The 27,687-nt window shown below is 46.5% G+C and overlaps 1 protein-coding gene and 1 pseudogene across 5 annotated transcripts in view, besides 3 other annotated features; one reads left to right on the top strand and one right to left on the bottom strand.

The window, feature by feature from the left end:
- PHF20 (PHD finger protein 20) overlaps nucleotides 1-13,534 on the bottom strand; it is a 178,356-nt gene extending 164,822 nt beyond the window's left edge. For 3 of the 5 annotated variants that reach the window (XM_047440180.1, NM_016436.5, XM_017027868.3), the window contains exon 1: nucleotides 13,470-13,534. The gene's annotated coding sequence lies outside the window, so the exon portion shown is untranslated. Of the gene's footprint in view, nucleotides 1-2,939; nucleotides 3,244-13,469 lie in introns of those variants that run through there. The other 2 variants (XM_047440181.1, XM_047440182.1) reach the window with 2 other exon arrangements.
- Nucleotides 11,788-12,082: a silencer, noted in NCBI's record as "tiled region #2555; K562 Repressive non-DNase unmatched - State 1:Tss". NCBI's record gives its function as "represses a minimal TATA promoter and a strong SV40 promoter by Sharpr-MPRA in K562 cells {active_cell/tissue: K562}" and the evidence as "EXISTENCE:reporter gene assay evidence [ECO:0000049][PMID:27701403]".
- Nucleotides 13,087-13,466: a silencer, noted in NCBI's record as "silent region_12864". NCBI's record gives its function as "represses an Ori minimal core promoter by ATAC-STARR-seq in GM12878 lymphoblastoid cells {active_cell/tissue: GM12878}" and the evidence as "EXISTENCE:reporter gene assay evidence [ECO:0000049][PMID:35858748]".
- Nucleotides 15,676-15,764, top strand: LOC124904972 (uncharacterized; annotated as a pseudogene).
- Nucleotides 22,795-22,995: a silencer, noted in NCBI's record as "peak4202 fragment used in MPRA reporter construct". NCBI's record gives its function as "represses an SCP1 promoter by STARR-seq MPRAs in K562 erythroleukemia cells {active_cell/tissue: K562}" and the evidence as "EXISTENCE:reporter gene assay evidence [ECO:0000049][PMID:32103011]".

Below are 27,687 nucleotides of genomic sequence, written 5' to 3'. Positions count from 1 at the left end.
CAGGAGTTCGAGACCAGCCTGGCCAACGTGGTGAAACCCCATCTCTACTAAAAATATAAAAATTAGCCCGGCATGGTGGTAGGAGCCCGTAGCACCACCTACTCGGGAGGCTAAGGCAGGAGAATCGCTTGAACCCAGGAGGCAGAGGTTGCAGTGAGCCAAGATTGTGCCACTGCACTCCAGCCTGGGTGACAAGAGCAAAACTCTGTCTCAAAAATAAATAAATAAATAAAAGTCCATTTTCCTTTAAGTATGAATTTTTATTCCTAGCCTTTATTATTAATACCAGGAAATATTCAACATTTACTGATTTATCACCACATGCTAAATCCTTGACAAACATCTCATTCCCAACAATGCAGAGAAGTCAGCAGTATTTTACGAAGGAGTATAAACAATAAACAACTTGCCCAAAGTCACCTGGCTAGATAGAAGAGCTGGGACTTCAGAAGCAAGACCTCCTTCCTCCAAAACCCACTACCCTCTTTTTTTTTTTTTAAGACAGGGTCTGTTTCTGTGGCCCAGGTTGGAGTGAAGCGGCATGATCCTGGCTCACTGCAACCTTTGCCTCCCAGGCTCAAACCATCCTCCCCACCTCAGCTCCCCCAGTGCTGGGACTACAGGCACGTGCCACCACCCCTTCCTCATTTTTGTATTTTTTATAGAGGCGGGGTTTTGCCACATTGCCGAGGCTAGTCTCGAACTCCTCAGCTCAAGTGATCTGCCCACCTAAGCTTCCCAAAGTGCTGGAATTACAGGTGTGAGCCACCGCACCCGGCCCCCACTAACCTTTATTGCTTTTAAAAACAAGGGACTGAGTGCAGTGGCTCATGCCTGTAATCCCAATACTTTGGGATGCTGAGGTGGGCAGATCACCTGAGGTCAGGAGTTCAAGACCAGCCTGGCCAACATGGTGAAACTCCATCTCTGTTAACAACATAAAAATTAGCTGGGCATAGTGGCACACGCCTGTATTCCCAGCTACTTGGCAGGCTGAGGCAGGAGAATCTCTTGAGCCCGGAAGGCAGAGGTTGCAGTAAGCAGAGATCATGCCACCACACTCCAGCCTGGGAGACACAGTGAGACTCCATCTCAAAAAAAAAAAAAAAAAAAAAGTCTTTGGGATATTTCAACATTAAAAATATTAAGGGATTACTGTTAGTTTTGTGTGTGTGAAAATGAGGGGAAAAAAAATGTGGCCGGGTGCAGTGGCTCACGCCTGTAATCCCAGCATTTTGGGAGGCCGAGGCAGGCAGATCACAAGGTCAGGAGTTCAAGACCAGCCTGGCTAATATGGTGAAACCCCATCTCTACTAAAAATACAAAAATTAGCCGGGCGTGGTGGCAGGCACCTGTAGTCACAGCTAGTCGGGAGGTTAAGGCAGGAGAATCGCTTGAACCCTGGAGGTGGAGGTTGCAGTGAACCGAGATTGTGCCACTGCACTCCAGCCTGGGGGACAGAGCGATACACTGTCTCAAAAAAAAAAAAAACACACAAACAAACGTAAGGGCGGGACAGTGGCTCATGCCTATAATCCCAGTACTTTGGTTTGGTTTTGTTTTAAGACGGAGTTTCACTCTTGTTGCCCAGGCTAGAGTGCAATGGCACGATCTCGGCTCACCACAACCTCCGCCTCCTGGGTTCAAGCGATTCTCCTGCCTCAGCCTCCCAAGAGTAGCTGAGATTACAGGCATGTGCCACCATGCCCGGCTAATTTTTTGTATTTTTAGTAGAGATGGGGTTTCTCCATGTTGGTCAAGCTGGTCTCGAACTCCTGACCTCAGGTGATCCGCCCACCTCGGCCTCCCAAAATGCTGGGATTACAGGAGTGAGGCACCATGCCCGGCCAATCCCAGTACTTTGGAAGGCCGAGGCAGGAGAATCACTTGAGCCCAAGAGTTTGAGATCAGCCTAGGCAACATAGCAAGACCTCGTCTCTATAAATAATAAAAAAAAAAAAAAAATTAGCCAAGCGCGGTGGCATACACCTGTAGTCCCAACTACTCACGAGGATGAGGCAGGAGGATCCCTTGAACCCAGGAGGTTGAAGCTGCAAGACAGCTGTGATTGTGCCACTGCACTCCAACCTGAGCAACAGAGTGAGAGTCCATCATAAAGAAAAAAAAAAAGTAAGAGTCTTTTTCTTTGGCATACACTACTGATAAAGTTATGGATGAAATACAAACTAACAAGGCCCACTGAAGGGCCCATGGAGGAATTTTACACACATTTTCTGAGAGGAATAAAACAAAAGTAATAATGGTAACATATACTCAACTCCTCATAAATCTTCAAGCCAGGAAAACTCTATAAACTATGTTTTCTTTTTCTTTTCTTTTTTTTATTTTTAAACACAGGCTCTCACTGTCACCCACACTGGAGTACAGTGGCAGGATCATAGCTCACTGCAGCCTTGAACTCCTGGGTTCAAGCAATCCTTCCACCTCAGCTTCCCAAGGAGCTGGGACTACAAGGCGTGCACCACCATGCCAAACTAATTTTTTTTTTTTCTGTGTTATAGAGATGAGGTTTCACTCTGTGGCCAGGACTGGTCTCAAACTCCTGGCTTCAAGCAGTCCTCCTGCCTTGGCCTCCCAGAGTGCTGGGATTACAGGCATGAGCCACTGTGCCCAGCCAAACCAGGTTTCTTTAATTTCCTTTACAGATTAGGAAATGGAGGGAAAGGGTAACATTTACTGATATTTCCAATGACTGATGTCAGACAGTTATGATAATACTTGGGTGAGGAAACAGGCTCATATAGGTTAAGTAACTTGCTAGGCTGGAAAGTTCTGCCTCCAATGTGCATAACACAATGAAAGGTTCAAGAGGTTTAAGCCATATGCCCAAATTACATTTGGCCCCAAGAGAGTGGCAAATACAGGCACTCAAACTCAGGCATTCCACCTCCAAATCCTACATCCTCACCACCACATACCATGCAGCCTGGACATGAAAAGTGACCTCTTGGCCAGGCACAGTGGCCTGTAATCCTAGCACTTTGGGAGGCCGAGGAGAGTGGATCACTTGAGGTCAGGAGTTCAAGACTAGCTTGGCGAATATGGTGAAAACCCATCTCTTCCAAAAATACAAAAATTAGCCGGGCATGGTGGCATCCGCCTGTAATCCTAGCTACTCGGGAGGCTGAGGCAGGAGAATTGCTTGAATCCAGGAGGCAGAGGTTGCAGTCAGCTCTGAGATGATGTCACTGCATTCCAGCCTGGAGAACAGAGTGAGAATGTCTCAAAAAGAGAAGAAAAAAAAAAGAAAAAAAGAAAAAAAAAACAAAACAAGAAAAAGAAAAGTGGCCTCTTTAATTACCTTGCCTTTACAAGTTGCACATGTCTAATTATCATATAGGTCACAGCACGACCAATTTCCTACTCATCAAAGCACATTACACAGAATTCAATACTCCATGGAACCAAGGGACAGTCAAGCAACCCAAACCAGTCATGCCCAGGAGCCTCAAAAAAGGCAGAAAAGTATTCAAAAACATGGAGACAGAAAGTAGAATGGTAGCTGCTGGGGCTGGGAGGAGGTTCATGAAAGAGGGAGTCAGTGTTTAATGGGTACAGAGTTATAATTTTTTTTTTTTTTGAGATGGAGTCTCGCTCTGTCACCTAGGCTGGAGTGCAGTGCAGCAATCCTGGCTCAGTGCAACCTCCACCCGCCCCCGCGTTCAAACAGTTCTCCTGCTTCAGGCTCCCTAGTGGCTGGGATCACAGGCATGTGCTACCACGCCCAGCTAATTTTTGTATTTTTAGTAGAGATGGGGTTTTGCCATGATGGCCAGGCTGGCCTCGAACTCCTGACCTCAAGTGATCTACCTGCCTCAGCCTCCCGAAGTGCTGGGATTACAGGCATGAGCCACTGGACCCGGCCCAGAGTTTCAATTTTGAGGAGTTACGGAGATGGAGAGTGGTGATGGTTGCACAACATTATTTAATACCAGTAAGCTATATAACTTAAAAATGGTTAAAATGGCAAATTTTATATTATGTGTATCTGACCACGACAACAACAACAACAAAAATTGAAGAAGAAAGAAAAATGTAGAAAGGCAGCTTGAGTTGGGAGAACTGGGCTTCTACAATTAAAGGATGTTTTGCATGGTCAAGAATGAAGGCCAGGCACAGTGGCTCACGCCTGTAATCCCAGCACTTTGGGAGGCTGAGGCGGGCGGAGACCAACCTGGCTAATACGGTGAAACCCGTCTCTATCAAAAATATGAAAATTAGCCGGATGTGGTGGTGCAGGCCTATAATCCCAGCTACTCAGGAGGCTGAGGCATGAGAATCACTTGAACCCCAGAGAAGGAGGTTGCAGTGAGCCAAGATCGTGTCACTGCACTTCAGCCTGGGTGACAGAGCAAGAATCCATCTCAGAAAAAAAAAAAAGAATAAAATCTTGCTCACGCCTGTAATCCCAGCACTTTAGGCCGAGGTGGGTGGAGCACCTGAGGTCAGGGGTTCGAGACCAGACTGACCAACATGGTAAAACTCCATCTCTACTAACAACAGAAAATTAGCCAGGCGTGTTGGCACATGCCTGTAATCCCAGCTACTTGGGAGGCTGAGGTAAGAGAATCACTTGAACTCGGGAGGCGGAGGTTGCAGTGAGCCAAGATCGTGCCATTGCACTCCAGCCTGGGCTACAAGGTGAAACTCCATCTCAAAAAAAAAAAAAAAAAAAAAAGGGCCAGGCACCAGTGGCTCATGTCTGTAATCCCAGCACTTTGGGAGGCCAAGGCTGGTGGATCATCTGAGATCAGGAGTTCAAGACCAGCCTGGGCAACATGGTGAAACCCCGTCTCTACTAAAAATATAAAAGATTAGCCGGGTGTGGTGGTGTTCGCCTGTAATCCCAGGTACTCAGGAGGCTGAGGCAGGAGAATCACTTGAACCCGGGAGGCGGAGGCTGCAGTGAGCCAAGATCATGCCACTGCCTTCCAGCCTGGGAGACAGAGTCAGACTCTGTCTCAAAAAAAAAAAAAGAAAAGAAAAAAAAGAAAAAAGAATGAGCCAGGCATGGTGGCTCATGCCTGTAATCCTAGCACTTTGGGAGGCCGAGGCGGATGGATTATGAGGTCAGCAGATCGAGACCATCCTGGCTAACATGGCGAAACCCCTGTCTCTACTAAAAATACAAAAAATTAGCCGGGCATCGTGGAGGGCATCTGTAGTCCCAGCTACTCAGGAGGCTGAGGCAGGAGAATGGCGTAAACCCGGGAGGCGGAGCTTGCAGTGAGCTGAGATTGTGCCACTGCACTCCAGCCTGGGCAACAATGTGAGACTCCGTCCCAAAAAAAAAAAAAAAAAAAAAAGAAATCTGGGGTGAGGGTGGCAAAGTGCCTCAGTGCTGGTTTCCAGGCTGCCACCTGTTTGATTTGTAGTTAAAATGACTTACTCAAATTTCTAGGGGAAAAAGCACGTTAGCTAGAGAGAGAGGGATGTAAGAGCACTGGGACAGGAGGCAAAGAAACCTGGACTCCAATCGAGGCCCTGCTTATTAGCCAAATGACCTTGGACAAATTACTCATCTCAGTTTCCTCCTCTGTTAGGACAGGATAATAGGTCAGATGTAAGGATTCAATGACATTTAAGACAGTGCTCCAAAAATGCTAGCTATAGTTATCATTATTGTAAAATGCCCACATTTCCAGACCAAGTTTCCACAACCTCGAAATCCCAACACCTGTGCACCTGTAGAAGCAAGAAAGGCATTGGCCGGGCACAGTGGCTCACGCCTGTAATCCCAGCAGTTTGGGAGGCCGAGGCGGGTGGATCACTTGAGGTCAGGAGTTCAAGACTAGCCTGGCGAACATGGTGAAACTCCATCTCTACTAAAAATACAAAAAATTACCCAGGCATGGTGGCGGGCACCTGTAATCCCAGCTACTCAGGAGGCTGAGGCAGGAGAATTGCTTGAACCCAGGAGACAGAGGTTGCAGTGTGCCGAGGTTGCACCACTGCACTTCTGGGCGACAGAGTGAGACTCCGCCTCAACAAAAAAAAAAAAAGAAAGAAAGGAATGTCAATCCACCAGCTATGGACTTTTTCCATATGAGAAAGAGACCTCTTGAAAATCAGGTCTCTACTAGGACAGAGACCCCCAAATATCCTTCTAAGATACCTGGAAGTCAGCCTTTAAAATCTGAGAATTATGTTCCTGACATGGAATAAACTATCACTGAATAAAAACCTTGGTTTAGGCCAGGCGCAGTGGCTCACACCTGTAAACCTAGCACTTTGGGAGGCCCTGGCAGGCGGATCATGAGGTCAGGAGTTCGAGACCAGCCTGGCCAATATGATGAAAGCCAGTCTCTACCAAAAATATAAAAGATTAGCAGGGTGAGGTGGCACACACCTGTAGTACCAGCTACTTGGGAGGCTGAAGCAGGAGAATCACTTGAATCCGGGAGGCAGAGGTTGCAGTGAGCCGAGATTGCACCATTGTACTCTAGCCTGGGCAACGAAGTGAGACTCCACCTCAAAAAAAAAACAAAAAACAAAACAAAACAAAAAAAAACCCTTTGTTTAAATCCCAAGCCCCTCCTCTTGCTCCTTCCCCAAAGTTCACTGATTCAGGCTCCACCACTCTTTCCTAAAACTGTCCTATTTACATTTAGTCACTCATATTAGGCTTCTAAAATTGTACAGGATTTCTGCCAGCTCATTAGTTCCATTATTTGGCAAAAGAGAGGAAGGTCCAGGTAGGACCTAGCCCAAGATCTAGCAAAGTTGTCAAAGCATTATTACAAATTAAGGGTTCAATTTTTTTTTTTTTTTTTTGAGACACAGTTTCACTCTTGTTGCCCAGGCTGAAGCGCAGTGGTGTAATCTCGGCTCACTGCAACCTCTGCCTCTCGGGTTCAAGCCATTCTCCTGCCTCAGCCTCCCTAGTAGCTGGGATGACAGGCACCTGCCACCACGCCTGACTAATTTTTTGTATTTTTAGTAGAGACGGAGTTTCACTGTGTGTTAGCCAGGCTGGTCTTGAACTCCTGACTTCAGGTGATCCATCCGACTTGGCCTCCCAAAGTGCTGGGATTACAGGCGTGAGCCACAGTGCCTGTCTCAATTTTCATTAGGTTACCCTATAGTCAATAGCCTGTAAGGGGCAGTCACTGGCAAAGATGGATTAGACAAAGACATCACCCTCCTTTTCTCTAGGCTCATAATCCAATCAAGGATCTTGACTAAGCATACATTTTGGTTTAAAGAATGTTTATCAAGAAAAATGTCCCAGCTTAACCAACATAGTGAAACCTTGTCTCTACTAAAACTACAAAAAATTAGTTGGGCATGGTGGTGCGCACCTATAATCCCAGCTACTCAGGAGGCTGAGGCACAAGAATCGCTTGAATTCAGGATGCACAGGTTGCAGTAAGCCAAGACTGCGCCACTACACTCCAGCCTAGGCAACAGAGCAAGACCCTTTCTCAAAATAAATAAATAAATAAAATTAATAAAAAGACTTTATCAAGAAAAATGTAAACATCCTCCCTATTATTTCTTAGGAAGATGATGAAAGAAGAAAACTCCAGAGGTTAAATATACCTTTAAGTCCTGACTTCCAAGCCCCCTCAGCAACTGTCTTTGACAATAATCAGGTGCTCTCAAAGAACTGTTGGTTTTATTCATTTGTTAAGTTATTTGAAATACAGATTTCTTATCATTATCCTTAACAATTCCTTGTTCTGGGTTTTGTGGCTGTGTGTTCCTAGAAGAGCACTTGGAAGCAATGGGGTCTCGTGCTGTCACCCAGCTGTAGTGCAGTGGTACAATCCTAGCTCACTGCAGACTCTGAACTCCCTCGTCAGCCTCCCAAGGAGCTGGGACTACAAGCACGCACCACCATGCCTGACTACTTTTTTGTTTTTGGTGGGGGAGTAGAGACAGGAATCTCACTTTGTTGCCCAGGCTGGTCTTGAACTCCTGGCTTCAAGCAATCCTCCCACTCTGGCCTCCCAAAGTGTTGGGATTACAGGCGTAAGCCACTGCACCCACCCAACCACGAGTAATTGTCAAATGGTATTTGCACTTAGGATACACTTTCAAACTTCAGAAAGGAAGTTTAAGCACCTTTACAATCCAGGAAGACATACCAGGCAACTGATTCCCACAGATACAGGAGATCTTGGGGAAGGGGACTAAAAACATTACATCTCATACTTTCCCCAAATCCCAGCCAAAGGCAAACAACCTGCTTGCTTCCTCTTTAAATTTCATGCCACCTGCCCTGCTAATTCAAACCAAAAAACAAAGCTGTGGTATGGAGGAAATGAAGTCCCTTTTTAAGTATACATTAGATAAGAGAACTGACAAGTAAATACGGGGTATATAAGGTACAGACTCCTTCTTGGTAAGGCAGAGAAGTCACAAACATTGAATGGAGAACTCAGGAAGACTTCTTTGAGGATTTCAGGTAGTTCTGAATGAAATACAGCATGGAACTGGAAGAAGACATGGAAGCAAGAAGAACGCTGAAGTTGGGTTGAGAACAAGCTGGCTGCCTCAGCTAGAAAAAAAGATAATGGCAGAAGTGACTTGGACAAGGGAATAACTGGCAGGCTGCCCAAGGGAGCACATGAAAGAAATCAGATCTGCTGCAACAAGCTACCACAGGCAATGGGGTTTCTAAGCAAGGTAGCGACCAAGATTCAGCCAGGGTGGACATTGCAGATCATCAGCCCCTCATTTTACAAATGGGGAGAAGCAGGCCCATAGCATTAAGTGACTTGCCTGAGGTCTCACAGTAAATGGAAGAGCTAGGACTAGAGCCAAATCCAGATCAAATCCGTTACTGAATAGGATCTGACACTCATGTGAGGAATAGGGGTTGGAGGAGGACAGGGACACAAAATAGTCTAGTCATTCAGGTTTGTCCTGATTAGGGCTGGCAACAGGATCACGTGGAAGAGGGCCAGACAGGTGACAGCCAGGGAAATAGGTACAGATGATCCAACACACTTAGAAAGGAAAAACACTTTCAGAGGTAGTCTTTGTCTCCAAAAAAATTTTTTGAAAAAAGGAAAAACCCACTTGAGACTTAGAATAGATTAGACATGTGGGTACAAAAGGAGAAAGATCATCATAAAGCATGATCACCATCAAAGAATATCATCTTCTCCCCAGCATTTGTCTTTCTGGAGCACCCATTTAGAGAAAGCCAGAAGCTTCCATTCGAGGTCGGGGAACATAGCTTTATCCTGGCTTTTCCTGGCCCATTTCCAGAACCCAGAAAACCAAGAAGGACTCTTTGGAAATTCCAACACCTGTGACCCACTGATTTGGGGTATCACAGACTCCCTACTCATGGTAGGATGAGGAACCAGACAGACAAGCTGGCTATGCAGTATTTATTAGAATGATTCTATATCAATAATTATGTTCACATTCAAGTAAGAAATATGTAACCATTTAAATTTGGCAATAGCCAGGCATGGCAGCTCACACCTATAATCCCAACACTTTGGGAAGCTAAGGTGGAGGACTGCTTGAGCCCAGAAGTTCAAGACCAACCTGGGCAAAATGGCAAGATCTCATCTCTACAAAAAATTTAAAATTAGCCAGGTGTGGTGGCACGTGCCAGTGGTCCCTGAAACTCAAGAGGCTGAGGGGAGGATCGCTTGAGCCCAGAAGGTTGAGGCTGCAGTAAGCCGTGATCACACCACTGCACTCCAGCTTGGGTGACAGAATGAGACCCTGTCCCCACCCAAAATATATATATATACACACAGAAACCAAACTCCTGGAGAAGTTTTGGCCTTTTTTTTTTTTTTTTTTTTGGAGACAGAGTCTCACTCTGTGGCCCAGGCTGGAGTGCAGTGGTGCAATTTTGGCTCACTGCAACCTCCGCCTCCCGGGTTCAAGCAAGTATTCTGCCTCAGCCTCCCATGTAGCTGGGATTACAGGTGCCTGCCACCACACCCAGGTAATTTTTCTATTTTTAGTAGAGACAGGGTTTCACTGTGTTAGCCAGACTGGTCTCGAACTCCTGACCTCGTGATCTGCCCGCCTCAGCTCCCAAAGTGCTGGGATTACAAGCATGAGCCACCGTGCCCAGCCAGTTTTGGCCAATATTTAAAAAGCTATGTGCTAGAATAACTAATTGAGTATAACTAATAAAGGGGACTATGGCCTTGTACAAACTTTTAAGGGATGTGTGTCTGGATAAAGATAAAATAAAAAAATATAAGGCTAACCACCACCTTCCTATTTTCACAGAGAAACTTTGTCTTCGTGTATGAAACCTCACTACTAAAAGTGTAGTTCAGTAACATCAGCATCACCTGCAAATCAGAAATGCATTCAGGTCCCATCCTAGATCTACCAAATCAGAATCAGCATTTCAACAAGACCCCTGGGTGACTTACATGCACATTCAAGTTTGAGAAGCACTGGTGTAGAATACTTTAAGGGTGCACTGTACGGCAGTACACAGATAAAGTATCAAGCAGCCAAAGAAAGAGACAAAGTATCTGTTCACTTTCAGTATACTATATTTTATTAGGTACTGCTCAGACAGACCTCCAGTGATTTTTATAAATTTGGTACTTCCTAATGGCCACATCATCTAACTGTGGGATCTATTTCATTTCTGGAAATAACACAACTTAGTTCTAGGGCTTTCATGCACATGAAATATAAAACAGCTTAGTTGTTCTGAAAACATGACAATGGTTAATTTTATTCAAGTCCCAACACTGAGTTCAGAGCACTTCTCCATAGGCCCCATTAATCTCTCCAGGTTTCTGGGAGTATCATTAAATCCCTCGGCATCCTTAAGAAGCAGGTGCTTAGCAAACATCCAGTTTCCAAATGAGAGTCAGAGGGGCTTGATCCTGAAAGTGTAGTATTTTCCTGCCTTGTCCTACTGGTATAGCTTCTTGGACCTAAAATCTCTCTCCTGCTGAGGCCTCATGCAGCTGCACACTCAAGTACTTCCCAAAAGGAAGAAAGGTCAGAGGTATCATTATCCCCAAGCACTTGGAATTCCAGCTGTGGAGAAATTAATCTGGTTGGGGGTTCAGGCTGAGAAGCCCTGAATAAGATCTGTAAAGGCAGAAGGAAACACAAAAGAAAGAACTATTGAGGCTCTTAAGAGATAGGAGGTCCCAGATATTTGCAGATTTTAATGTGAGGATTGGGGGTAAAGATTGACAAGAGGTTGGCCGGGCTTGGTGGCTCACGCCTGTAATCCCAGCACTTTGGGAGGCGGAGGCGGGTGGATCACGAGGTCAGGAGATCGAGACCACAGTGAAACCCCGTCTCTACTAAAAACAAAAAAATTAGACGGGCGCGGTGTGGTGGGTGCCTGTAGTCCCAGCTGCTCGGGAGGCTGAGGCAGGAGAATGTCGTGAACCCGGGAGGCGGAGCTTGCACTGAGCCGAGATCGCGCCACTGCACTCCAGCCTGGGCGACAGAGCGAGACTCTGTCTCAAAAAAAAAAAAAGAAGATTGACAAGAGGATGATTGGGAGAGAAAAATATCCATTTCCCCACCGACACCCCAGGGACAAGAACAAAAAGAGTATCCAAGGGATTCCTCCAAACGACATCTTTTCTTCATAAAAGATAGTAAGAAAGCCAATATAGGGAAGAAGTTTATGGGCTAGAAGCAGTGCTGGAAAAATCTGAGAGTTTTGTTTGTTTTTGTTTTCCAGCACAAGGAGATAAAGCAAAGGAGAAAACAGTATGCACCTAAACAGAATCTTAGGTCTTCTAGAAGTAAACCACCAGGAGGATTCAGAGTCCTGTGATTAACCAAAGAAATGGTTTCCACTTTGAATCCAGCGCTGGGGGCCCAGGCAGTCCTAGACTTGAGGCCACCTCCAGCACAAGGAAAATCTTTATAGCCACTAGGTAAACAGAACAATTCCAAAGAAAGACAGAAACCAGAAAAATGTTTGGGGATTGGGCAAGCCAAGAGAGAAGAGATCCTGCTAGCGGAAAGATAAAAGATAGGCCTATCAAAAACAATGTGCTGGTAGCCCTTTAGGAGAGGAATCCTTCCCTGGGAGGAGAGGAGAATTCAGGAGGTGTGACTCTGGGAAGTGTGCTCAGAAGAAAAGCCCGCAGAAGCACAGAGAAAAGTGCCGTGCTGAACAAAGATACGCACTCGCCAGAGGAAGAGGAAATGGGTGCACTGACCAGACTGGGGAAAGCACCTCAAGGGGAGTGTGGCTCCAAAAAGGGAAGGAAACTGAGGAATGAAAATGTCTTGGATGACAGAAAAGCTAAACAGGGTAGGAAGGCATGCTCAAAACCACAGACCACTCGCCACCTGGAAATGAGAGGACTCACAAAAAGGTGTGCCCCCCAAATTTAAGAAGCATCTGGAAAGTGGCTGCACTCTGAGAGTTGTATAACTAAAAGGGGTTCACCTCGTACATTTGGGGGGCACAAGAAACAAATATACTCCCAGATATGAAAATGAGTCTCCTTCAGGAAATAAGGTAGTTTGATTTGGGGAACACGTGAAAAGTGTGTAACCCCAATAATACAGTCTCGGGAGAAGGCAGTGAATTCCCTTATTTGTGAAACTGGAAATAAGTACCCATAAACTTCAAAATTTGGACATTGTTTTCGGCCCAACCTCAGGTTTGAAGGGCTGAGGAAAGGAAGTGGCCCCTAAATGTAAGAAATTCCAGAAGGCATGCTGTCAGATTTGGGACCTGGAAAAGGGGAATTCTTCCTTGGAGTAGAGGGGATACAAGAAAGTATCCCAAAACTTTAGCTAATGGACCCCAGATCTGAGGACCCGATAACAGGGTGAACCTCTAAATTGGAACGGAAATGCAGAATCAAATTGGAGGCCCGAAAAAAGGAATGTGCTCCCACTTTGGGGGCTGACGGAAGAGGGTACGCCCTAAATTTGGGGGGGGGAGGGCTTTTAGAAATTTAGATAAAATTCCAGAGCTAGAGCTTAAGAAAGGGGGTGTGCCGCCCAGTTTTCAAAACTATAGAGAAAAGGGACACTCCCATATTTGGGGTCTTGAGAAAGGAATGTGCTCCCCAGAATAGGATAAAAAAAGCCAATTTTAAAAAACATATTCCCAAAGCGCAAGGCAATAGCAGAGGCTGCTGATGAGGCTCTAGGTGCCCACACAGCTCAGGCTCGGGCCCTAGGGCTTACCCGCACCCCCAACACGGCCCGCTCCGCGCCCCGGGCCCGCACCCCACGGCCCAGCCCCCTCGGGCGGCGCTGATTGGCGGCAGCCGCCGCCACTCTTGCGGGTAGCCCCGGGGATTGGGCACCGCTCGCACGCCCGCCACGCTCTCAGCAGCAGTCCCAGGGCCTCCCTCCAGGCTGGGCGAGCGGGGCCAGGCGGGGAGCGGGGCCGGGCAGGGGACCGAAGCAGCGGTGGCGTCCGTCGCCGTCCCCGCCCGCACGGCGCGCGCGCAGCGCGGGCCCGGCCCAACCCGGCCCGGCCGGCCGGCTTCGCCTGGCCGCGAGCTCACCTCACGGCCCCACTCCGGCTGCGCCGCTCCAGGACCAACCGACAGAAGGACTCTGCGTGCTCTGCACCACGTGACCCCCGGGACGCGCCCAGCGTATGCCCCGCCCCCCACACACACGCATCATCGCCACCACCGAGTGACGTAAGGTCCCAGCTGCCCCGCCCCCTGCCCCGTCTGCCCGATCACTGTGGCAACGGCCTGCGCAGGCCACGCCCACTACCCTGACGCGCGGGAAACAGGCCCGCGCCCTAGCAGGAACACGAAGTCCCCACTCACTCGTAATCACTGAGATCACCGAAGCCGGGGAATGGACGCTATCCATCACCCGTTAATTTTGCCACCTAAATGCGTCTCAAAGCTTCCCATTTCTCCATCGAAGCGACCACCATCTCTCTCCAAGATGAAGATGGTTTCCACCCTATTACTCTTCGCCGTTCTAATCCATTCTTCGTACACCGGCAGAGAGGTCTTTTCAAAACGCCATCCCCTGCTCAAAGCTCGTTTCCCTCCCTACTCCGGATTAAGATCTAACTCTTCACCTAGACTATCTACCAGGCTCTTCAAAGTCTGGACCTGACCTGCTGCTTTCTTATCCTCACGAATCCAGCTCCCCCACATTCTCAGTGTCCTTCAACTCCGCTAACAATCCAGGTTCTTCTCATCTCAGAGCCTTTGCACTCATTTCTCCCCCACTTTATCATTAACTCCTAGAAAGGTTTCCAATTGCTGCTAAGGATAAGGAGCTGTATTTTCTCTGGGGACGAAGGTCGGAGTTGAAGCCACCCCAAAAGAATATGAGACCAGGAGCAGTGGCTCACGCCTGTAATCCCAACACTATGAGAGGCTGAGGTGGGTAGATCACTTGAGCTCAGGAGTTCGAGACCAGCCTGGGCAACATAGCTAGACCCCCGTCTCTCCAAGAAATACAACAATTAGCCAGGCGTGAACGTGCGCACCTGTGGTCCCAGCTCAACCTTCTGAGTAGCTGGGACTGCAGGCCCATGCCACCATGCCTAGCTAATTTTTTTTTTTTTTTGAGACACGGTCTCACTGTGTCACCCAGGCTGGAGTGCAGTGGCGCAGTCTCGGCTCCTCATAACCTCCACCTCCTAGGCCCAAGCAATTCTCCCACCTCAGTCTCCCAGATAGCTGGAACCACAGGTGTGCACCTGGCTAATTTTTGCATTTTTTTGTAGAGACGCAGTTTCACGATGTTGCCCAGGCTGGTCTTGAATTCCTGGGCTCAAGCAGTCCACCCACCTCAGCCTCCCAGAGTGCTGGAATTAACACCGTACTTGGCCACTTTTTTTTTTTTTTTTTGAGATAGAGTCTCGCTCTGTAGCCCAGACGGGAGTGCAGTGGTGCGATCTTGGCTCACTGCAACCTCTGCCTCCCGGGTTCAAGCAATTCTTTGCCTCAGCCTCCCAAGTAGCTGGGATTACAGGCGCACGCCGCCACGCCCAGCTAATTTTTTATATTTTTTTTAGTAGAGACGGGTTTTCACCATCTTGGCCAGGCTGGTCTTGAACTCCTGACCTCATGATCCGCGCGCCTCGGCCTCCTAAAATACTGCGATTACAAGCGTGAGCCACCGTGCCCGGCCGAGTTTTTTTTTTTTTTTTTTTAGAGACAGGGTCTCACTTTGTTGACCAGGCTGGTCTCAAACTCCTTGGCTCAAGTGATCCTCCTGCCTCAGCCTCCAGAAATGCTGGAATTACAGGCCTCAGCCAGCAAATCCAGCCTGAGGGGTGCTTTTTAAACCAGGGCTGGAAACTAAGGAGGGTATTGCCTCAGTTGAGGTAGTCAGGGCAAAGAGCAGCCCTTAGGTAGAGACACTGTGGAACCAGGGACAAAAGCTTCAGCTACACTTGCTTGGGCAGTACATGTATTCTATTAAAATTGTAACATGGCTGGGCGCGGTGGCTCACGCATGTAATCCCAGCACTTTGGGAGGCCAAGACGGGCAGATTACCTGAGGTGAGGAGTTCGAGACCAGCCTGGCCAACATGGTGAAACCCTCTCTCTACTAAAAATGCAAAAATTAGCCAGGTGTGGTGGTGCATGCCTGTAGTCCCAGCTACTTGAGAGGCTGAGGCAGGAGAATGACTTGAACCCTGGAGGCAGAGGTTGCAGTGAGCCGAGATAGCACCACTGCACTCTAGCCTGGGTGATAGAGCAAGATTCCATCTCAAAAAATAATAATAAAATAAAATAAAATTGTAACAATACAGAAAAGATTCACATGACCCCTGCATAAGGATAAGCATGCAAATTCATGATACATTTCATACTTTTTAAAAAATCAGCAATTTGAGAATCAGTGCCACTCAGTCAAGTAAGTGCTCACATATAGGAAGGGCCTTCCCAAGATCCTCTGGGTTTATGTTTATTAATATGAAATTGCTCAGATGTCAGTGGCTATGGTAGCACACAAAGAACTTTTTGCCCCCCAACCACAATAATGCCAAGAACTCCAGACTCTGTAGCCCCGTATAAATATAGCATGTTTCTTTACTTATTCAACCTGCATTTACCGAGAGTCAAATTCAAGATGGGCACCAAACACTCAGAGCACAATGAGACTTAGGCCCTGCTCTCGAGGAGCTCACAGACTGGTGAAGTAATCATGGCAAGCAAAAGAGAAATATGTTACAAGGGCCCCTGAGCTACAACAGGAGTGCAGGCTTGGAAAACAAACAGGCACAAGGACAGCTCCACCAAGAAAGAGCAACAACAGCTGCTGCCCCCAGCAACACTGCGCACCACTGCTGTGATTCAATCTTAGTATCCCTTTGTCTTTGAGTCACTCACTCAAGAGGCAAGGTCTTGGCCAGCAGCCACTGTCGATTGGCCAATCTCAGGTCACATGGATGAGTCCAGCCTGCCAGGGAAAGAAGAGAGGAATGACCTGCCCCTAAGGGTACTCCCCAAGATGGGAAGTGAGGGTTGGAAGGAGACTGACACTGATCAGGGAAAAATAACTGAATACAGATGAGAAAAAAGTACCTTGTGAGCTAAGCTCTTTCTGATGTAAAAACTTGCAGAAATTTGACTTACCAGCTTCTTCTGAACTGAATATTAATGGAATGCTAGCCAGAGAGCTCCAGTTTACAAGATTTTGGTCTAAAGTCCACTGACTTTAGACCAGAAGTAACATCTACCTTCTGCCTTAAGATCCTCCCCAGCATCTTACTAATACTGTATTTCAAAACTGTAGTCCCAGCCCATAAGCTGAGAGCTCCACAATGAAACCCTGTGTGCATCCATACAAAGTATAGGATAGCACAAAAAGCATCTACCTGCATGGAAGAGTTGTCACTCTCTGTAGGCATTGCTTTTCTTCAATATTCACTTTTTTTACTCAATGGGATAATATATATCTACCAACGCAGAATTGTCACGTTTAAGTTCAATAATATGTGAGAAAATGTACTGAACTACAAAGTTCTATACAACTTCATTTCTAATTTCTTTTTTACTAGATTCAGCATATTCAAAATATTCCTAGCTAAAGAGAAGCAGAATTAAAGATCCAACATGAGATAAAATATTCAATTAGGAAACTGATCTTTCTCAATGTCTACCCAGCAAACCTCTATACTCTATCCTTATGCAACCCTAAAGCACTTACAGTGAGTCTGTTAAGGGAAAAGAGGGAAACTAAAACAGAAAAGTAAGCCCTCTAGATCTCACAGACCCCATGTACTGAGTATCACCAAACTTGAGCATGTCAGTCCCCAAAAGCAGGAACTGGGGTGTGATCTCTGCAGCACCAAGCTGAGTGTGAGAACTCAGGAAGCCGGAAACCACAGTCACAGTAGCATCTGAAAGGTCCAAGACCTCAACAAGGCACCAGAGGCCCAAGGGAAGCAGGTTGTCTTGGCCCTGGCCGGACGTCTCTCCAGTCTGGGCTCCACGGAAAGTTCCCGAACTCCCCAGGCCTTCACTGCTCTCCAAGTGAGGGGGAGGAGAATTAACTAGGAATTCCAAATTACTTCCTGCATTTTGCATGATTACAAGGAGGGAGGGAGCAGTCGGAAGGAAAGGAAAGCATTTTGTATTCTTGTCCTAGTCACTAAAAAGGCTGATAAGGCCAGGCACAGAAGCTCACGCCTGTAATCCTAACACTCTGAGAGGCCAAGGCAGGCGAATCACTTGAAGTCAGGAGTTCGAGACCAGCCTGGCCAAAATGGTGAAACCCCATCTCTACTAAAATACAAAAATTAGCTGGGCGTGGTGGTACATGCCTGTAATCCCAGCTACTGGGGAGGCTGAGGCAGGAGAATTGCTTGAACCCGGGAGGCAGAGGTTGCAGTGAACCAAGATCATCATGCCACTGCACTCTAGCCTGGGCGACAGAGCCAGACTCTGTCTCAAAAAAAAAAAAAAAAGGAGGGGGGGCCAGGCTTGGTGGCTCACTCCTGTAATCTCAGCACTTTGGGCGGCCAAGGCCGGCACATCACCTGAGGGCAGGAGTTGGAGACCAGCCTGGCCAACACGGTGAAACCCCATCTCTACTAAAATACAAAAATTTGCCAGGCGTCGTGGCGCATCCTGTAATCCCAGCGACTCGGGAGGCTGAGGCGGCAGAATCGCTTGAACCCAGAAGGCAGAAGTTGCAGTGAGCTGGGATCACACCATTGCACTCCAGTCACTGTTACCTGTAATTTAAACATACCTAATAAATATTTCTTGTGGGTTAAAATTCTTACGAGCCTAGAGATAAAGGGAAACGGGGAGGATTTTCGCCTCAGGGACTAAGAGAATGGAGGTTATAAAGAGGTAAATTAAACAAACAGTCTTGGAATATCCAGGTAATCCACTTCAGTCTCCAAACTTCTTGTAATTTAATTTTAAACAGTTAATGTTGTCACATGGTTCAAATACTGGAAATTACATAAACGTTGTACAATACAAAGTCTCCCTGAAATTCTTGTCCCTCATTGGTCCAGTTCCAATTGGTAAACATGACACTTACTTTTTTAATGAATCGTTTGTGTCAGGATCTTGCTCTGTTGCCCAGGCTGGAGTGCAGCGCCACGATCACAGCTTACTGCAGCTTCAAACTCCTGGGCTCAAGCAGTCCTCCCACCTCAGCCTCCCAAGTAGCTGGGACTACAGGTGCACACCATCAGTATTTCTTTACATATATATAAGCAAACTTTGATACAGTTCTTATATTGATCCTTTAACACAAAAGGAACATTTATTCATGTTGTTGTTCACCTTACTTTTTTCATTAAACAAAACTTGTTTTTTTTAGAGACAGAGTCTCACTCTGTCGCCCAGGCTGGAGTGCAGTGGGGTGATCTTGGCTCACTGCAAGCTCCGCCTCCCAGGTTCACGCCATTCTCCTGCCTCAGCCTCCCAAGTAGCTGGGAGTACAGGCGCCCACCACCATGCCCAGCTAATTTTTGTATTTTTAGTAGAGACGGGGTTTCACCATGTTAGCCAAGATGGTCTCGATCTCCTGACCTCATGATCCTCCTGCCTCAGCCTCCCAAAGTGCTGGAATTACAGACATGAGCCACTGCGCCCAGCCGAAATTTTTTTTTCTTTTTTTTTTTGAGATGGAGTTTTGTTCTTCTCACCCAGGCTGGAGTGCAGTGGAGCAATCTCAGTTCACTGCAACCTCTGCCTTCCAGGTTCTATCGATTCTCCTACGTAGCCAAGATGGTCTTGATCTCCTGACCTCGTTATCCTCCTGCGCAGCCTCCCAAGTAACTGGGATTACAGGTGTCCACCACTATGCCGGGCTAATTTTTGTATTTTTAGTATTTTGTATTTTAGCCAGGATGATCTCGATCTCCTGACCTCATGATCTGCCCACCTCAGCCTCCCAAAGCGCTGGGATTACAGGCGTGAGCCATTACACCTGGCCTAATTTGATTTATTTTCTTACATAATTGTATTTGCTTTTACCATCAGATTGTGAACTTCTCTGGGAACAGGACTGCTTCTTGTTTATCTCGATCCCCCCAGCTCCTAGCATCCTGCCTAGAATGTGCTGGTTGTTTAACAACTATTTGTTGAATTGATTGGAGTTGCTTTGGAGATGCATCAGTGGAGAGCCAGAGGAAGGAAGGATGAAAGTATTTCCAGAAATAGAGCACATTACTCGGTGAAAATAAAATATAGACAGGGGCATGCTTTTTTTTCTTTTTTCCTATTTTTTTTTTTTAACATAGAGACGGGGTCTCGCTATGTGGCCCAGACTGATCTCAGACTCCTGGGCTCAAGCAATTCTCCTGCCTTGGCCTCCCAAAGTGCTGGGATTACAGGTGTGAACCACCACATCCAGCCAAGCATTTTGTTTTTTTATTTATTTATTTTATTTTATTTTATTTTATTTTATTTTATTTTATTTTATTCTTGAGACAGAGTCTCACTCTGTTGCCCAGGCTGGAGTGCAGTGGCGAGGTATCAGCTCACAGCAACCTCTGCCTCCCAGGTTCAAGCAATTCTTTTTCCTCAGCGTCCTGAGTAACTGGGATTGCAGGTGCCTGCCACCATGCCCAGCTAATTTTTTTTGTATTTTTAGTAGAGATGGCGTTTCATCATGTTGGCCAGACTAGTCTCAAACTCCTGACCTCATGATCTGCCGGCCTCAGCCTCCCAAAGCACTGGGATTTAAAGCATGAGCCACTGCACCCAGCCCTAATTTTTTTATTTTTTTAAGACATTGTCTCACTCTGTCACCCAGGCTGGAGTACAGTGGTGACATCTCGGCTTGCCACAACCTCTGCCTCCAGGGTTCAAGCAATTCTCATGCCTCAGCCTCTTGAGTAGCTGGGATTACAGGTATGCACCACCACACCTGGCTAATTTTCATATTTTTAGTAGAGTCAGGGTTTCACCATGTTGGCCAGGCTGGTTTCAAGCCATCTGTCGGCCTCAGCCTAACAAAGAGCTGGAATTACAGCAATGAGCCACCGTGCCTGGCTGGGCATGTTTTCATGCATACAGGAATTCTGTATGAAAGTGAGTTGCATGGGTGGGGTAGAGAGTTGAGCAGATTCCATTAGAATGGCAGATAAGAGGCTGGCAGGGTGGCTGACACCTGTAATCCCAGCACTTTGGGAGGCCAAGGTGGGTGGATCATTGAGGTCAGGAGCTTGAGACCAGCTGGGCCAACATGGTGAAACCATATATCTACTAAAATACAAAAATTAGCTGGGCGTGGCCAGGCATAGTGGCTCACGCCTGTAATCCCAGCATTTTGGGAGACTGAGGTAGACGAATCATGATGTCAGGAGTTTGAGACCAGCCTGGCTAACATGGTGAAACCGTGTGTCTACTAAAAGTACAAATATTAGCCTGGTGTGGTGGTGCATGCCTGTAATCCCAGGTACTCAGGAGGCTGAGGCAGGAACTGAGGCAGTGAGCGGAGATCATGTCACTGCACCCCAGCCTGGGCGACAGAGTGAGACTCTGTCTCAAAAAAAAAAAAAAAAAAAAAAAAAGGGCAGATAAGAGCTAATCTGTGAAAGGACATGATGAAAGGATATTTTTTTTTGAGATTAAATTTTGCTCTTTTTGCCCAAACTGGAGTGCAACGGCATGACCTCAGCTCACTGCAAACTGCGCGTCCCTGGTTCAAGTGATTCTCCTGCCTCAGCCTCCAAAGTAGCTGGGATTATAGGCACCCGCTACAACACCTGGCTAATTTTTTAATTATTTTATTTTATTTTATTTTATTTTTTTGAGACATAGTTTCTCTCTTGTTGCCCAGGCTGGAGTGCAATGGTATGACCTTGGCTCACCACAACTTCCACCTCCCAAGGCGATTCCCCTGCCTCAGCCTCCAGAGTAGCTGGGATTACAGGCATGTGCCACCATGCCAGGCTGGTTTTGTATTTTTAGTAGAGATAGGGTTTTTCTACGCTGGTCAGGCTGGTCTTGAACTCCTGACCTCAGGTGATCCAACTGCCTCGGCCTCCCAAAGTGCTGGAATTACAGGCATGAGCCACTGCACCCAGATTGTGGCTTTTATTTTTTTTAAGAAATGTTGGCTGGGCATGGTGGCTCACGCCTGTAATCCCAGCACTTTGGGAGGCCGAGGCGGGCGGATCACAATGTCAAGAGATCAAGACCATCCTGGCCAACATGGTGAAACCCCGTCTCTACTAAAAATACAAAAATTAGCTGGGCGTGGTGGTGTGTGACTGTAGTCTCAGCTACTCTCGGGAGGCTGAGGCAGGAGAAACGCTTGAACCCAGGAGGTGGAGGTTGCAGTGAGCTGAGATCATGCCACTGCACTCCAGCCTGGCGACAGAGTGAGAGACTCCATCCCAAAAAAAAAAAAAAAAAAAAAAAAAAAAAAAAAAAAAAAAAGAAGGGTTTTGGAGTTTTTTAAATACAATTTTATTTTTTTTAATTAATTAATTTATTTATTTTTGAGACGGATTCTTACTCTGTTGCCCAGGCTGGAGTGCAATGGTGCAGTCTTGGCTCACTGCAACCTCCGTCTCCTGGGCTCATGCGATTCTCCTGCCTCAGCCTCCGGAGTAACTGGGATTACAAGCATGCACTACCACACCTGGCTAATTTTTGTATTTTTAGTAGAGGTGGGGTTTCACCATGTTGGCCAGGCTAGTCTGGACTCCTGACCTCAGGTGATCTGCCTGCCTCAGCATCCCAAAGTGCTGGGATTACAGGTGTGAGCCACCGCACCCGGCTAAAAAAAATAATTTTTATTTTAGCCAGGTATTTGAAGATTTCTGCCTTCAGTTTACTTCCTCTAATAAATAGGCTCCCCTGAAAATGAAAGGAGATAGGGAAGAGGAGGAGGGGCAATGATGTAGCTTGTAGGATAAATAACTCTGAAAATAATAAAGGGTGAAGGCTGGACGCAGTGGCTCATGGCTCTAATCCCAGCACTTTGGGAGGCGAAGGCAGGTGGATCACAAGGACAGGAGTTCCAGACCAGCTTGGCCAACATGGTGAAACCGCATCTCTACTAAAGTTACAAAAAATTAGCCGGGTGTGGTGGTGGTGGTGCGCGCCTGTAATCCCAGCTACTCGGGAGGCTAAGGCAGGAGCCTCTGCTTGAACCCGGGAGGCGGAGGTTGCAGTGAGCTGAGATGTCGCCATTGCACTCCAGCCTGAGCGACAGGGCAAGACTCTGTCCCCAAAAAAAAAAAAAAAAAAAAAAAGAATAAAGGCTGAAAAGAGTTTGGTGCTTGTGAAGTAGTCGTGGGTTGGGGCGAGGGGATAGGACAATGACATAGTCAAGGAAAGCAGGGAAAATGGAACAAGGCGTGAGAGTACCTGTCAGTGCCTGTTTTTCCATAATTGTTCCTCCAGTGACTTTCTTTAGTGGTGCTATTTAGAGTGTGGAATTTGGAATTCAGATTGGACTTCAGATACCTTTTTAGGCCCAAGGGAAGTATGCACTAGGCTGGGGAGGGTGAAATGAAGGAAGCAAGATTTCAAATCTGTAAGTGTAGGGTGACAGTGAAGGGAGAGAGAGCCTTAGGGTCTTGGTGAGTCAGTAAGCAGACAAGAAGGGATTCGCAGAGGTCCGGGTGGCAGAGCATTAATTATCAACATTTCTTTTCCTTCTTTTTTTTTTTTTTTGGAGATAGAGTTTTGCTCTTGTTGCCTAGGCTGGAGTGCAGTGGCGTGATCTCAGCTCACCGCAACCTCCAACTCCCGAGTTTGAGCGATTCTCCTTAATCCCAAGAGAATCCCAAATAGCTGGGATTATAGGTATGCGCCACCATGCCCAGCTAATTTTATATTTTTACTAGAGACAGGGCTTCTCCATGTTGGCCAAGCTGGTCTCAAACTCCGGACCTCTGGTGATCCACCCGCCTTGGCCTCCCAAAGTGCTGGGATTACATCGCGCCCAGCAATTATCAACATTTCTACTGTCCTCCTTTTTTTTAACCTCAAATGCACATAATTACACAGATAACACTCAATCATGCTTTTGTTTCTTGGCACCCAATTCCCACTAAGCCAGACACAGCCCCACTTTTTCCTTTCTTTTTGGTTTTTGTCTTGTTTTTTGAATATAAAAGGATGTTTATTGAAGCATGGTTTATAACAATGGAAAAGTTGTGATTGACTATCAGTAGGGAAATTATTTATTGCAACATTGTTTATAAACATATAAACATTGAAAACAAAGTAAATGAATGGCTCCTCTTTGTTATTCTTCTTCTTTTTTCTTTTTTTCTTTGAGACAGAGTCTTGCTCTGTTGCCCAGGCTGGAGTGCACTGGCGTCCTGCCTCAGCCTCCCCGGTAGCTGGGAATACAGGCACGTGCCACCACGCCTGGCTAAATTTTTTTTTTTTTTTAAACGGAGTCTCGCTCTTTCACCAGGCTGGAGTGCAGTGGCGTAATCTTGGCTCACTGCAACCTCCGCCTCCCTTCTGTCTCAGCCTCCTGAGTAGCTGGGACTACAGGCAAGCGCCACAATGCACAGCTAATTTTTGTATAGGCACAGGGTTTCACCATATCGGCCAGGATGGTCTAGATCTCTTGACCTCATGATCTGCCTGCCTCGGCCTCCCAAAGTGCTGGGATTACAGGCGTGAGCCACTGCGCCCGGCCTAATTTTTTGTATTTTTAGTAGAGATGGGGTTTCACTGCGTTAGCCCAGGATGGTCTAGATCTCCTGACCTCCTGATTCGCTGGCCTTGGCCCCCCAACATGCTGGAATTACAGGTGTGAGCCACCACACCTGACCTGTTACTCTTCTTTAGCTTCCATTCTGTCTCAATTCCCTAACGCTTCTGAGACTACCCATGTGTATATGTATATCCATGAATAAAATATAAATATTTTATGTACTTGAATTTATAATATTTTCTTTAATGTCTTGTCCTTTTTGTGTGTTCAGAATATTTCCCACACAAGATCATCACGATAATTTCCAAAACTTCTCTTTTTATTTTATATATTTATTTAAGAGACAAAGTCTGGCTTTTTAGCCCTGGCTGGAGTGCAGTGGCACGATCATAACTCACTGCAGCCTCGACCTTTCCTGACCAAGTGATCCTCCCACCTCAGCCTCCCAAGTGGCTGGAACTACAGATGCATGCCATTATGCCTGGCTAACTTTAATTTTTAAATTATTTTTATTATTTAAAAATTTTATTTATTGATGTATTTTTTGAGATGGAGCCTTGCTTTGTTGCTCAGACTGGAGTGCTGTGGTGTGATATTGGCTCACTGCAACCTCCATCTCCTGGGTTCAAGAGATCCTCCCATCTAAGCCTCCCAAGTAGCTGGGACTACAGGTGTGAGCCACCTCATCCGGCTAAGTTTTGTATTATTTTTGTAGACAGAGAGTTTCACCATGTTGCCCAGGCTGGTCTTGAACTGCTGGGCTCTAGTGATCTGTCTGCCTCAGCCTCCCAAAGTGCTGGGATTATAGGCATGAGCCACCACACCTGGCCTTTTAAATTTTTTTGTAGAGACAGGGTCTCACCATGTTGCACAGGCTGGTCTTGAATTCCTGGGCTCAAGTGATCCTCTAGCCTTGGCTTCCCAAAGTGCTGAGCTTATAGGCAGAAAATTGGAAGTCACCCACATGGCCATCAATAGGGGACTGATTAAGCAAATTATAATATGTCCACACAAGGAATACTATGCAGCAGTAACATAAAACAAAATAATAAGGACCTTATATTTATTCCATTGTATAAAATATATTGTTGGGCTGGGCACAGTGTTTCATGCCTGTAATTCCAGCACTTTGGGAGGCTAAGGCAGGTGGTCAGGGGTTCGAGACCAGCCTGGCCAACATGGTGAAACCCCATCTCTACTAAAAGAATACAAAAAAAATCAGCTGGGCATGGTGGCGCACACCTGTAATCCCAGCTACTCGGGAGGCTAAAGCAGGAGAATCACTTGAACCCAGGATCCAGAGTTTGCAGTGAGCCAAGATCATGCCAGTACACTCCAGCTTGAGCAACAGAACAAGACTCTGCCTCAAAAAACAAACAAAAAAACTTTATGAAGTAGCCAGGTGTGATGGCAAGTGCCTGTAGTCCCAACTACTTGGGAAGCTGAGGTGAGAGAATTGCTTGAGTCCAGGAGTTTGAGGTTACAGTGAGCCATGATTGTGCCACTGCATTCCACTGGGTGACAGAGCCAGACTGTCTCAAAATAACTAAGTAAGGAACTAAATAAATATAAGAAAATGTAGAGTGTCTTTTTGTTGTTGTTGTTTTGAGACAGAGTTTCACTCTTGTTGCCCAGGCTGGAGTGCAGTGGTGTGACCTCGGCTCACTGCAACCTCCGCCCCCTGGGTTCAAGTGATTCTCCTGCCTCAGTCTCCTGAGTAGCTGGGATTACAGGCATGCGCCACCACGCCTGGCTATTTTTTTTTAAATTATTCTTAGTAGAGAAGGGGTTTCACCATGTTGCACAGGCTGGTCTCGGACTCCTGAACTTGTGATCTGCCTGCCTTGGCCTTCCAAAGCGCTGGGATTACAAGCGTGAGCCACCCCGCCCAGCCCCTATTTTTCTGTTTTTAGTAGAGACGAGGTTTCACCATATTGGCCAGGTTGATCTCAAACTCCTGACCTCAGGTGATCCACCCACCTCAGCCTCTCAAAGTGCTGGGATTACAGGTGTGAGGCACCACACCCAGCCAGATCTATCTATCTATCTTTCTTCCTTCCTTCTTTTTTTTTTTTTTTTGACGGAATTTTGCTCTTGTCGCCCAGGCTGGAGTGCAATGGCACGATCTTGGCTCACTGCAACCTCCTTCTCCCAAGTGCAAACAATTCTTCTGCCTCAGCCTACTGAGTAGCTAGGATTACAGGTGCCCACCACCATGCCCAGCTAATTTTTGTATTTTTAGTAGAGACGTTGTTTTACCATGTTGGCCAGCCTGGTCTTGAACTCCTGATCTCAGGTGATTCACCTGCCTCTGCCTCCCAAAGTGCTGGGATTACAGGCGTGATCCACCAGGTCTGGCCCCGGCCAGGTATCCCGGCCAGGTATTTCTTAAACAATAAGATTTGAAAGTCAGGCTTGGCATGGTGGCTTACATTTTGGGAGGCTAAAGCAGGAGAATTGCTTGAGCCCAGGTGTTCCAGACCAGCCTAAACAACATAGTGGGACCTGATCTCTATATAAAAATCGCTGAGGAATAAAAAATAAAGGCCAGGTATAGTGACTCACGCCTGTAATCCCAGCACTTTATTGAGGCTGAGGTAGGCAGATCACTTGAAGACAGGAGTTCGAGATCAGCCTGACCAACACAGTGAATTTCCATCTCTACTAAAGAAATACAAAAATCAGCTGGGCGTAGTGGTGAGCGCCTGTAATCCCAGCTACTCAGGAGGCCAAGACAGGAGAATCGCTTGAACCCAGGAGGCGGAGGTTGCAGTGAGCGAGATCGAGCCACTGAACTCTAGCCTGGGCGACAGTGTGAGATTCTGTCTCAAAAATAAATAAATAAATAAATAAATAAATAGAAATAAAAATAAACATTTTTTAAAAATAAAGATAAAGACATGGAAGTCCAAATTATTCCTTCATTCATGGACTGCAGAATGAATGTTGTTTTAGCAGGCATGTATATCTTGTATATCTCCTTGTATATCTCCCTGAGAGCTTTTGGGTGACCAGGTGCATTGTCAATGAGCAGTAATAGTTTGAAAGGAATCTTTTTTTTTTTTTTTTTTTCTGAGTAGTACGTCTCAACAGTGGGCTTGAAATATTCAATAAACTATGTTGTAAACAGATGTGCTGTCATCCAGGCTTTATTGTTCCATTTATAGAACATAGGCAGAGAAGACTCAGCATAACTCTTTTTGTTTTGTTTTGTTTTGTTTTGAGATGGAGTCTTGCTCTGTCGCCCAGGCTGGAGTGCAGTGGCAACGATCTTGGCTCACTGCAACTTCCTCCTCCCAAGTTCAAGCAATTCTCCTGCCTCAGCCTCCCGAGTAGCTGAGATTACAGGTGCCTGCTTCCATGCCCGGCTAATTTTTGTATTTTTAGTAGAGACGGGTTTCACCATGTTGGCCAGGCTGTTCTGGAATGCCTGACTTTGTGATCCACCCGCCTTGGCCTCCCAAAATGCTGGGATTACAGGCATGAGCCACCGCGCCCGGCCAATAGTTTATATTTATTGAATACTTGGGGCATTAGACAGGCACTGTGGTAAATGCTTCACACATATTATCTTACTTAATCCTTTCCACATTTATTCTACTTAATCCTCAGAGCCGTCTGTGAGGCTAGAGAAACAAA

This window comes from Homo sapiens, chromosome 20, assembly GCF_000001405.40.
Source record: "Homo sapiens chromosome 20, GRCh38.p14 Primary Assembly".
Taxonomy (NCBI): Eukaryota; Metazoa; Chordata; class Mammalia; order Primates; family Hominidae; genus Homo; species Homo sapiens.
The sequence above is the reverse complement of the archived record's forward strand: the minus strand, read 5'-3'. Positions and strand labels throughout refer to the sequence as shown.